This window comes from Homo sapiens, chromosome 10, assembly GCF_000001405.40.
Source record: "Homo sapiens chromosome 10, GRCh38.p14 Primary Assembly".
Lineage (NCBI taxonomy): Eukaryota > Metazoa > Chordata > Mammalia > Primates > Hominidae > Homo > Homo sapiens.
The window spans coordinates 27,294,802-27,308,103 of NC_000010.11; the positions used below are offsets into that span (position 1 = coordinate 27,294,802).

The 13,302-nt window shown below is 43.2% G+C and overlaps 1 long non-coding RNA gene and 1 pseudogene across 3 annotated transcripts in view; one reads left to right on the forward strand and one right to left on the reverse strand.

Moving 5' to 3' along the window:
- ODAD2P1 (outer dynein arm docking complex subunit 2 pseudogene 1) overlaps positions 1-13,302 on the forward strand; it is a 76,294-nt pseudogene that overhangs the window by 36,040 nt on the left and 26,952 nt on the right. The gene's annotated exons all lie outside the window — the stretch shown is intronic.
- On the reverse strand, positions 2,649-12,702 carry LOC102724245 (uncharacterized). 2 transcript variants are annotated; one of them, XR_001747397.2, is made up of 3 exons: positions 12,562-12,702; positions 11,311-11,503; positions 2,649-2,685 (listed from the first exon to the last, which is right to left on the reverse strand). It is a non-coding gene; the product is annotated as an uncharacterized LOC102724245 (long non-coding RNA). The 2 variants fall into 2 exon arrangements; XR_428682.4 differs by lacking the exon at positions 2,649-2,685 and adding an exon at positions 3,565-3,956 and having other exon boundaries at positions 12,562-12,701.

A 13,302-nucleotide genomic window follows, 5' to 3' on the forward strand; every position in this document is an offset into this window, starting at 1 on the left:
ACTGCATTTGTGGGGCTCAGTTCCTTAATGATCTTACGTAAACTGATTAAACACACACACACACATAAATACATACACATACACACACACACACACACACACACACACCCCTGGGCTTAAAGCGTGCTTTCGAGTGGTAATTGGAAGTTGTGTGAGTTTTTGTTGTAGGAATTTGATGTACTTTGCAATCAATTACAGTTAATTCAATTCCTTTCCCATTACTTGAGTTTTGGGTATGGAGTGGCAGGTAGTTTGATCCTTGTTTCATTGGTGGAAAAGCTGAGAAATTCTTTGCTCCAGGACACACAGAAGGCAGCTGCAGGACTGAGTCCAGGCTTCTATCTTTATTGCCCATTGCCTGGTTGTTTGGTTCCACTGTCAAGAAATTCAGGACCCAGGAGGCCTGCAGAACCTACTGTTGTATCTTCCTGTCTTTCTCTTGTTTGGATTTCTTCATTTGAGTGAGAGTCAACAGGGAGCCCTTCCCATAAAGGAACTCAGTATTCATGTTTGGAAGGCCATATTAGACGGTGCTCTTCTGCTGTCTTTACTTAAAAAAAAAATAGAAAAGAACGTGATGGCACAGAGTTATTCTTGTTAAAAAGAGTATTTCAAAAATGGAAAACGATGGTCCCTGTTCATCCACTCAAATCAACTCCAGTAGTTAGAAAGGCAAATGAGTACCATGTTCCTGAGAAACATTCTTTAAGTTAGTACATGTGTTGCTACATTGATGTGGGTTGAGCTTTCTTTTTTTTTTTTTTTTTAATTTTTTTTTTATTGATAATTCTTGGGTGTTTCTCACAGAGGGGGATTTGGCAGGGTCATGGGACAATAGTGGAGGGAAGGTCAGCAGATAAACAAGTGAACAAAGGTATCTGGTTTTCCTAGGCAGAGGACCCTGCGGCCTTCCGCAGTGTTTGTGTCCCTGATTACTTGAGATTAGGGAGTGGTGATGACTCTTAACGAGCATGCTGCCTTCAAGCATCTGTTTAACAAAGCACATCTTGCACCGCCCTTAATCCATTTAACCCTGAGTGGACACAGCACTTGTTTCAGAGAGCACAGGGTTGGGGGTAAGGTCACAGATCAACAGGATCCCAAGGCAGAAGAATTTTTCTTAGTGCAGAACAAAATGAAAAGTCTCCCATGTCTACTTCTTTCTACACAGACACGGCAACCATCCGATTTCTCAATCTTTTCCCCACCTTTCCTGCCTTTCTATTCCACAAAGCCGCCATTGTCATCCTGGCCCGTTCTCAATGAGCTGTTGGGCACACCTCCCAGACGGGGTGGTGGCTGGGCAGAGGGGCTCCTCACTTCCCAGTAGGGGCGGCCGGGCAGAGGCGCCCCTCACCTCCCGGACGGGGCGGCTGGCCGGGCGGGGGGCTGACCCCCCACCTCCCTCCCGGACAGGGCGGCTGGCCGGGCAGAGGGGCTCCTCACTTCCCAGTAGGGGCGGCCGGGCAGAGGCACCCCTCACCTCCCGGATGGGGCGGCTGGCCGGGCGGGGGGCTGACCCCCCCACCTCCCTCCTGGACAGGGCGGCTGGCCGGGTGGGGGGCTGACCCCCCCACCTCCCTCCCGGATGGGGCAGCTGGCCGGGCAGGGGGCTGACCCCCCCACCTCCCTCCCGGACGGGGCGTCTTGCTGGGCAGAGGGGCTCTTCACTTCCCAGTAGGGGTGGCCGGGCAGAGGTGCCCCTCACCTCCCAGACGGGGCGGCTGGCCGGGCGGGGGGCTGACCCCCCCACCTCCCTCCCGGATGGGGCGGGTGGCCGGGCGGGGGGCTGACCCCCCCACCTCCCTCCCGGACAGGGCGGCTGGCCAGGCGGAGACGCTCCTCACTTCCCAGATGGGGTGGCTGCCGGGCGGAGAGGCTCCTCACTTCTCAGACGGGGCAGCTGCCGGGCGGAGGGGCTCCTCACTTCTCAGACGGGGTGGTTGCCAGGCAGAGGGTCTCCTCACTTCTCAGATGGGGCGGCCGGGCAGAGACGCTCCTCACCTCCCAGACGGGGTCGTGGCCGGGCAGAGGCGCTCCTCACATCCCAGACGGGGCAGTGGGGCAGAGGCGCTCCCCACATCTCAGACGATGGGCGGCCGGGCAGAGACGCTCCTCACTTCCTAGATGTGATGACGGCCGGGAAGAGGTGCTCCTCACTTCCTAGATGGGATGGCGGCCGGGCAGAGACGCTCCTCACTTTCCAGACTGGGCAGCCAGGCAGAGGGGCTCCTCACATCCCAGACGATGGTTGGCCAGGCAGAGACACTCCTCACTTCCCAGACGGGGTGGCGGCCGGGCAGAGGCTGCAATCTCGGCACTTTGGGAGGCCAAGGCAGGCGGCTGGGAGGTGTAGGTTGTAGCGAGCTGAGATCAGGCCACTGCACTCCAGCCTGGGCACCATTGAGCACTGAGTGAATGAGACTCCGTCTGCAATCCCGGCACCTCGGGAGGCCGAGGCTGGCAGATCACTCGCGGTTAGGGGCTGGAGACTGGCCCGGCCAACACAGCAAAACCCCGTCTCCACCAAAACCAGTCAGGCGTGGCGGCGCGTGCCTGCAATCGCAGGCACTCGGCAGGCTGAGGCAGGAGAATCAGGCAGGGAGGTTGCAGTGAGCCGAGATGGCAGCAGTACAGTCCAGCTTTGGCTCCGCATGAGAGGGAGACCGTGGAAAGAGAGGGAGACTGTGGGGAGAGGGAGAGGGAGAGGGAGAGGGAGAGCGGGTTGAGCTTTCTTAAAAAAGTCAGTGACAAACGAATAGGACAACTTTTGTGACTATTTTTTTAAAATTGCCATGTTTGAAATCATAAGATATTTAAATTCCATCAGCTAAAAAAAGTCTACTCAGAATCTGCATTTATGTTTTCATAAATATTGTAGTGTAAGAAATGAATGCATTTTAAGTATTTGGATTATTGGTAATGTGTGTTACTTGTATGGTTATATTGCCCACAAAAGAATTTGTCATCTTTTATTTTTGTTATAAAGGAGATTGTGGAAGAAATGGAGAAGCTCATCTCCGTCATTCCCAAAGGGGAATCTGTATTTAAATTCTTGAGCTTTAAGCTTTCCTTGCCTCTTGGCATTCATAAGTAAATACGTGTGGAGAAAAAGCAGAGTAAAGACAATTAGATCAGTATGATAACACAATGCTACTGACTCATAACAGTTTATATGACCACTAGCTAGCACTATGCTACCACGTCAACTTAACGACTGAAAAATGACAATATTGAAAATCTCAGGGGAGTTCCCTTAAGCTTTAACTCATTCATTCATTCACTCACTCATGTGTTTATTCATGAACGTGTGCTATGAGCCAGCACAGCTAGAGCATACTGATGATACACATACCCATCTAGTTATTTGTAAGATTTTTGATTGGCATGAACTGTGATATCTAAGGCAGTTTTATGTAGTAGATCTTTTCGGGGAATTTCTTGCCCCATGTTTTTGCAACAACACTTATTTTTGTTCCTTAAAATATGCTTTTCCCCTAAAATTCATTTGAGAAAGCTAAGTAGATTGGAGAAGAGTAGTGGTACTGGCTGGTTCCCAGTTTCTATAATGTGCTAGGCTGCTTTGCTTTCTGTTTTAAAAACGCACACTCATGGCCTGTTACAGAGCCTGCATGCTGAAGAATTTTTAGTATATGAGTTAAGGAGTGAATAAGAGGCATAAGATTTGGTATAAATGATTTTTCATTTTATATCTCTCTATAGATCTATTGTCATTATTTAAAATTGCATTTTGCAGGAAAAATATTAAACTGCATGTCCCTTTTTGGTCCATTGGCCTGTGAGATTTCTCTCGCAGGGCTGTGGTTCTTCCCAGCTCTTGCTCCCGGGGTGGGTGTGGCTGTCTGGTTGTGGCTGCTGATGTTTCTGTGACACAGGACATAGCAGAAGCACGTGGTATTCTTCCCGTTTCCCTTACTCCCTTCTGTGTTTAAAATCTTTAAATATTATACAAATAGCACACTCATATATGCTTAATATAAAACTTCAAGCCATGCAAAGTGAAAGCCCCTTCCAGATATTTCTCTGTTTATATACATATACATATACATATATCATTTATATACATAAATGAAATCCTACTATTATTCTACATTTTGCTTTTTATATTTAATATTCTGTCTTGGTGATCTTTCATATCTGCCTCACTCCTTTTAATTACTACATAGTATTTCATTAAAGGTATATATCATTAATTTATTGAGCAATTGCCTTATTGATAACATTTAAGTTGTCCCTCAAATCACTTTTTGTTACTACAAACAATACTGCAGCTAATATTTTTACATATTCTTTGGATATGTGCATTATTTCTATAGGATGGATTCTTTGAAATGGAATTGCTTGAGTCAAAGAGAATGCACATTTACATTTTTGATAGCACTAATAGGGAGTTCTATACACATGCCAAGACATATATAAGATTTTTGAGATGGAGCCAAGATGGCCGAATAAGAACAGCTCCAGTCTATGGCTCCCAGCATGAGCGATGCAGAAGACGGGTGATTTCTGCATTTCCAAGTGAGATACCGGGTTCATCTCACTGGGGAGTGCCGGACAGTGGGTGTGGGACAGTGGGTGCAGCGCACCCTGTGTGAGCTGAAGCAGGGCGAGGCATCGCCTCACCCAGGAAGTGCAAGGGGTCAGGGAATTCCCTTTCCTAGTCAAAGAAAGGGGTGACAGACGGCACCTGGAAAATTGGGTCACTCCCACCCTAATACTGCGCTTTTCCAACAGGCTTAACAAATGGCACACCAGGAGATTATATCCCGCACATGGCTCGGGGGGTCCTACGCCCACGGAGCCTCACTCATTGCTAGCACAGCAGTCCGAAATCAAACTGCAAGGTGGCAGCGAGGCTGGGGGAGGGGTGCCCGCCATTGCCGAGGCTTGAGTAGGTAAACAAAGCTGCTGGGAAGCTCAAACTAGGTGGAGCCCACCGCAGCTCAAGGAGGCCTGCCTGCCTCTGTAGGCTCCACCTCCAGGGGCAGGGCACAGACAAAAGGCAGCAGTAACCTCTGCAGATTTAAATGTCCCTGTCTGACGGCTTTGAAGAGAGTAGTGGTTCTCCCAGCACACAGCTTCAGATCTGAGAACAGGCAGACTGCCTCCTCAAGTGGGTCCCTGGCCCCCAAGTAGCCTAACTGGGAGGCACCCCCCAGTAGGGGCGGACTGACACCTCACACGGCCAGGTACTCCTCTGAGACAAAACTTCCAGAGGAATGATCAGGCAGCAGCATTTGCGGTTCACCAATATCCACTGTTCTGCAGCCACCGCTGCTGATACCCAGGAAAACAGGATCTGGAGTGGACCTCCAGCAAACTCCAACAGACCTGCCGCTGAGGGTCCTGACTGTTAGAAGGAAAACTAACAAACAGAAAGGACATCCACACCAAAAACCCATCTGTACATCACCATCATCAAAGACCAAAGGTAGATAAAACCACAAAGATGGGGAAGAAACAGAGCAGAAAAACTGGAAACTCTAAAAATCAGAGCACCTCTCCTCCTCCAAAGGAACACAGCTCCTCACCAGCAATGGAACAAAGCTGGACGGAGAATGACTTTGACGAGTTGAGAGAAGAAGGCTTCAGAAGATCAAACTACTCCGAGCTAAAGGAGGAAGTTTGAACCAATGGTAAAGAAGTTAAAAACCTTGAAAAAAAATTAGACAAATGGCTAACTAGAATAACCAATGCAGAGAAGTCCTTAAAGGACCTGATGGAGCTGAAAACCATGGCATGAGAACTACGTGACGAATGTACAAGCCTCAGTAGCTGATGCGAACAACTGGAAGACAGGGTATCAGTGATGGAAGACGAAATGAATGAAATGAAGTGAGAAGAGAAGTTTAGAGAAAAAAGAATAAAAAGGAACGAACAAAGCCTCCAAGAAATATGGGACTATGTGAAAAGACCAAATCTACGTCTGATTGGTGTACCTGAAAGTGACAGTGAAAATGGAACCAGGTTGGAAAACACTCTTTAGGATATTATCCAGGAGAACTTCCCCAATCTAGCAAGGCAGGCCAACATTCAAATTCAGGGAATACAGAGAATGTCACAAAGATACTCCTTGAGAAGAGCAACTCCAAGACACATAATTGTCAGATTCACCAAAGTTGAAATGAAGGAAAATATGTTAAGGGCAGCCAGAGAGAAAGGTCGGGTTACCCACAAAGGGAAGCCCATCAGACTAACAGCTGATCTCTCGGCAGAAATTCTACAAGCCAGAAGAAAGTGGGGGCCAATAATCAACATTCTTAAAGAAAAGAATTTTCAACCCAGAATTTCATATCCAGAGAAACTAAGCTTCATAAGTGGAGGAGAAATAAAATCCTTTACAGACAAGCAAATGCTGAGAGATTTTGTCACCACCAGGCCTGCCCTAAAAGAGCTCCTGAAGGAAGCACTAAACATGGAAAGGAACAGCTGGTACCAGCCACTGCAAAAACATGCCAAATTGTAAAGACCATCGAAGCTAGGACAAAACTGCATCAACTAACAAGCAAAATAACCAGCTAACATCATAATGACAGGATCAAATTCACACATAACAATAGTAACCTTAAGTGTAAATGGGCTAAATGCTCCAATTAAAAGACACAGACTGGCAAATCGGATAAAGAGTCAAGACCCATCAGTGTGCTGTATTCAGGAAACCCATCTCATGTGCAGAGACACACATAGGCTCAAAATAAAGGGATGGAGGAAGATCTACCAAGCAAATGGAAAACAAAAAAAGGCAGGGGTTGCAATCCTAGTCTCTGAAAAAACAGACTTTAAACCAAGAAAGATCAAAAGAGACAAAGAAGGCCATTACATAATGGTAAAGGGATCAATTCAACAAGAAGAGCTAACTATCCTAAATATATATGCACCCAATACAGGAGCACCCAGATTCATAAAGCAAGTCCTTAGTGACCTACAAAGAGACTTAGACTCCCACACAATAATAATGGGAGACTTTAAGACCCCACTGTCAACATTAGACAGATCAACGAGACAGAAAGTTAACAAGGATATCCAGGAATTGAACTCAGCTCTGCACTAAGCAGACCTAATAGACATCTACAGAACTCTCCACCCCAAATCAACAGAATATACATTCTTTTCAGCATCACACCACACCTATTCCAAAACTGACCACATAGTAGGAAGTAAAGCACTCCTCAGCAAATGTAAAAGAACAGAAATAATAACAAACTGTCTCTCAGACCACAGTGCAATCAAACTAAAACTCAGGATTAAGAAATCACTCAAAACCGCTCAACTACATGGAAACTGAACAACCTGCTCCTGAATGACTACTGGGTACATAACGAAATGAAGGCAGAGATAAAGATGTTCTTTGAAAACAACGAGAACAAAGACACAACATACCAGAATCTCTGGGACACATTCAAAGCAGTGTGTAGAGGGAAATTTATAGCACTAAATGCCCACAAGAAAAAGCAGGAAAGATCTAAAATTGACACCCTAACATCACAATTAAAAGAACTAGAGAAGCAAGAGCAAACACATTCAAAAGCTAGCAGAAGGCAAGAAATAACTAAGATCAGAGCAGAACTGAAGGAAATAGAGACACAAAAAACCCTTCAAAAAATCAATCCAGGAGCTGGTTTTTTGAGGAGATCAACAAAATTGATAGACCGCTAGCAAGACTAATGAAGAAAAGAGAGAAGAATCAAATAGACGCAAAAAAAAATGACAAAGGGGATATCACCACCGATCCCACAGAAATACAGACTACCATCAGAGAATGCTATAAACGCCTCTACACAAATAAACTAGAAAATCTAGAAGAAATGGATAAATTCCTCGACACCTATACCCTCCCAAGACTAAACCAGGAAGAAGTTGAGTCTCTGAATAGAGCAATAACAGGCTCTGAAATTGAGGCAATAATTAATAGCTTACCAACCAATAAAAGTCCAGGACCAGATGGATTCACAGCCAAATTCTACCAGAGGTATGAGGGAGGAGCTGGTACCATTCCTTCTGAAACTATTCCAATCAATAGAAAAAGAGGGAATCCTCCCTAACTCATTTTATGAGGCCAGCATCATCCTGATACCAAAGCCTGTCAGAGACACAACCAAAAAAGAGAATTTTAGACCAATATTCTTGATGAACATTGATGCAACAATCCTCAATAAAATATTGGCAAACTGAATCCAGCAGCACCTCAAAAAGCTTATCCACCATGATCAAGTGGGCTTCATCCCTGGGATGCAAGGCTGGTTCAACATATGCAAATCAATAAACATAATCCAGCATATAAACAGAACCAAAGACAAAAACCACATGATTATCTCAATAGATGCAGAAAAGGCCTTTGACAAAATTCAACAACACTTCATGCTAAAAACTCTCAATAAATTAGGTATTGATGGGACATATCTCAAAATAATAAGAGTTATCTATGACAAAGCCACAGCCAATATCATACTGAATGGGCAAAAACTGGAAGCATTCCCTTTGAAAACTGGCACAAGACAGGGATGCCCTCTCTCACCACTCCTATTCAACATAGTGTTGGAAGTTCTGGCCAGGGCAGTCAGGCAGGAGAAGGAAATAAAGGGCATTCAATTAGGAAAAGAGGAAGTCAAATCGTCCCTGTTTGCAGATGACATAATTGTATATCTAGAAAACCCCATCGTCTCAACCCAAAATCTCCTTAAGCTGATAAGCAACTTCAGCAAAGTCTCAGGATACAAAATCAATGTGCAACAATCACAAGCATTCTTATACACCAATAACAGACAAACAGAGAGCCAAATCATGAGTGAACTCCCATTCACAATTGCTTCAAAGAGAATAAAATACCTAGGAATCCAACTTACAAGGGATGTGAAGCACCTCTTCAAGGAGAACTACAAACCACTGCTCAATGAAATAAAAGAGGATACAAACAAATGGAAGAACAGTCCATGCTCATGGGTAGGAGGAATCAATGTCGTGAAAATGGCCATACTGCCCAAGGTAATTTGTAGATTCAATGCCATCCCCATCAAGCTACCATGACTTTCTTCACAGAATTGGAAAAAACTACTTTAAAGTTCATATGGAACCAAAAAAGAACCCACGTTGCCAAGTCAATCCTAAGCCAAAAGAACAAAGCTGGAGGTATCACGCTACCTGACTTCAAACTATACTACAAGGCTACAGTAACCAAAACAGCATGGTACTGGTACCAAAACAGAGATATAGACCAATGGAAGAGAACAGAGCCCTCAGAAATAATGCCACATATCTACAACTATCTGATCTTTGACAAACCTGACAGAAACAAGAAATGGGGAAAGGATCCCCTATTTAATAAATGTTGCTGGGAAGACTGGCTAGCCATATGTAGAAAGCTGAAACTGGATCCCTTCCTTACACCTTATACAAAAATTAATTCAAGATGGATTAAAGACTTACATGTTAGACCTAAAACCATAAAAACCCTAGAAGAAAACCTAGGCAATACCATTCAGGACATAGGCATGGGCAAGGACTTCATGTCTGAAACACCAAAAGCAATGGCAACAAAAGCCAAAATTGACAAATGGGATCTAATTAAAGAGCTTCTGAACAGCAAAAGAAACCACCATCAGAGTGAACAGGGAACCTACAGAATGGGAGAAAATTTTTGCAACCTACTCATCTGACAAAGGGCTAATATCCGGAATCTACAATAATCTCAAACAAATTTACAAGAAAAAAAAACAACCCCATCAAAAAGTGGGCAAAGTATATGAACAGACACTTCTCAAAATAAGACATTTATGCGGCCAACAGACACATGAAAAAATGCTCATCATCACTGACCATCAGATAAATGCAAATCAAAACCACAATGAGATACCATCTCACACCAGTTAGAATGGCGATCATTAAAAAGTCAGGAAACAACAGGTGCTGGAGAGGATGTGGAGAAATAGGAACACTTTTACACTGTTGGTGGGACTGTAAACTAGTTCAACCATTGTGGAAGTCGGTGTGGCGATTCCTCAGGGATCTAGAACTAGAAATACCATTTGACCCAGCCATCCCATTACTGGGTATATACCCAAAGGATTATAAATCATGCTGCTATAAAGACACATGCTCACATATGTATATTGTGGCACTATTCACAATAGCAAAGACTTGGAACCAACCCAAATGTCCAACAATGATAGACTGGATTAAGAAAATGTGGCACATATACACCATGGAATACTATGCAGCCATAAAAAATGATGAGTTCATGTCCTTTGTAGGGACATGGATGAAACTGGAAACCATCATTCTCAGCAAACTATCGCAAGGACAAAAAACCAAACACCGCATGTTCTCACTCATAGGTGGGAACTGAACAATGAGAACACATGGACACAGGAAGGGGAACATCACACACCGGGGACTGTTGTGGGGTGGGGGGAGTGGGGAGGGATAGCATTAGGAGATATACCTAATGCTAAATGACGAGTTGATGGGTGCAGCACACTAACATGGCACATGTATACATATGTAACCTGAACATTGTACACATGTACCCTAAAACTTAAAGTATGATAATAATAATAATAGTAATAAAAAGAAGCTGTCAGGATGTCTCCAGAGCTCATCTGAGTGGATAAAATATCCAGTTTGTTTCAAATCATCCTTTTTCATTTGAATCCTCAGGTATTATTTTTGTGTGTGTGTGTTGGGGGGTGTTCCTGAGACCCTTGAAGGCCCCTGATAGGCCAGGGAAATTAAAGTTCCAGTGACTGCAGGGAGTGAGGAGCTGAGTAAGAAGAACTTACGTTGCAAGTCACTGTTCTAAGTGATAATGGCAAAAACCATTTAGTCCTCATTTTTACAACCAAAATTTATTACTATCCCATTTTACAGATGAGGATAATGAGGTGAGATTTAACTGTAAATTATTAACATGAAAATACAGTCTTTAAAATTTCTAAAAATAATTTATTTTTGAAATAGCAAACAATATTTTTACCTTTAAAACATATTTACAAATTTAATGTCAGAAAAAGCATTCTAGGAAAACTCAGTAGAATTTAATGTGCAGACCTCTTTATGGCCTAATAATCTTAAAAAGACTTAATACCTGCTCTTGAGCACATTCCAACCTGGGTATACTCAAACTTTTGTTCAAAATGGATTTTAAGAACGTAGATTTTTCCTTGTAGTAAATAAGATTAATTTTGCTAGCCCAGATCAACTCTTGGACTATGTGAAAATGCGAGTGGCTAGTATTCGCATGGATAGACTCAAATTACCCTGAGTTGGCTGGCCTGAACCATGTATGTAACTCACACTTTCTCCTTGCCTGTCCTTTTGCACTGCAGCAGTATCTGAGTTGATCATCTTTTTGGTAAAGGTTTCTGCCGGTTCCTTGGACTTCTCAAGAAGTAGTTGTTCTGACAGCATCCCCTAACATATCCCCCAAGGAGACTCATGCTGGAACCACATAGGCTCAAAGAGCACTTCAAGAAAAAGAAGGCCTGGTCTGGAATGAGAATAGTGGTGGTGTGGGTAACCCAATTTCCTCTCTTCTGAGAAAAAAAGAAATTCAACTGTATGGGTAGAATATCCTTTCCCAAAGCAATTCCAAGATGTTAGACAAATTTTCGCAGTAAAAAAGATGACTGAACACAGAAATACCATTTAGGACATAAAATGGAGGCCAAGGAGGCTGGGTGCGGTGGCTCACGCCTGTAATCCCAGCACTTCGGGAGGCCAAGGCGGGTGGATCACCAGGTCAGGAGATCGAGACCTCCTGACTAACACAGTGAAACTCCATCTCTACTAAGAATACAAAAAATTAGCCGGGTGTGGCGGTGGGCGCCTGTAGTCCCAGCTACTCGAGAGGCTGAGGCAGGAGAATGGCGTGAACCCGGAAGGCAGAGCTTGCAGTGAGCGGAGATCGCGCCACTGTACTCCAGCCTGGGTGACAGAGCAAGACTCTGTCTCAAAAAAAAAAAAAAAAAAAAAAAATGGAGGCCAAGGAAAAGAAGCCATTTAGTTTATTTTCAGAACCATTATTAATTCCTAAGGGCCCAGTTAAGCAACATTTTTATAACAATACATTTTAAAGGCTATTGCACAATACTACATTCTGGACTGACAGGGTAGTAAGTGCTTGCTTTTACTGAATGCTTCATACAATTTTCTTAAACTTCAGTGCTATGCTATGTATTAGTTTATTTTCAGTGTCAAAATCCTTCATTTACGAAGAGTTTTTAACAGAGGTATAATGGTGATAAATCAATATTAATATAAAAAAACAGACATTATGAAAAGGTAATATTCACTGTGTAAATTTGCTATGTGGTTATTAAAAAATTCACTTACATGAAGTCAATTCAATTTGGAAAACGTATCCATTGACTGCTCTCTACTAGGAATAAGCTAAATATTGTAAAAATAAAATAAAATAAAATAAAAACAATTCCTGCCCTCAAGGATACCACTACTGTCTCTGCCCTCAAGGATACCACGACTGTCTCTGAAATCACAGAACTGGGGATGGAGGGGTAGTCACTGGGAACAACGTTCTATGCTTACAGCGTTAAGTAAATGCGGGACGTGAAGCAGATGATACGGGCTTTGATTTTCTCATCTGTGAAACAAGAAAATTAAATTTAATTTAGAAACAGTGAAGGCATTTTCTCAAAAGTTTGTATACTTGTGCTTCTCTTTCTATAATTCACATTCTATTCTACCCTAAATCTTATTAATAAGCAAGAATTCTAATCAGACATTAGTAATCCCCTGATATAAATGTATGTGCACAGCTGGTACCACACTATTACAACATGATGACTTTAGACGGTGCCAAAAATGCCATTTACATGGAGGCCATGTATGCTCAAAAGGTTTTCAAAAGTTACATTTATTGACGTGTTCACATTACTGTGTTGTTTTGGAAAATAGCCAAGAACCCATCTGCTGAATTTTTTTAGACCTTTGGTGTGGAGGTATCTTACTTGTATTCCAACTTAACCACATACCAAGACCTAACAAATCGTTTATTAGAACAACACTAAGACATCCAAACCAATAAATTAACAGGTGGTGCCTAAAAATTGAGTTTTTTTGTTTCATTTAATCAGTTAGTTTAAGCAATTTTAGTTTTCCAGATGTGCTAGGTATTGAATCACCTCAGAGAAGAGTTTGAACAAAACAGATATTGTAAAACTTGGTTTTTATTGCTAAAAATGGAAAGTCTGAAGATTGGAAATTTGACCTAATATTAGCCTCAGATGGAAACAAATTCAAAGCAGAGCCTGGAGATGGGCGGCGTCC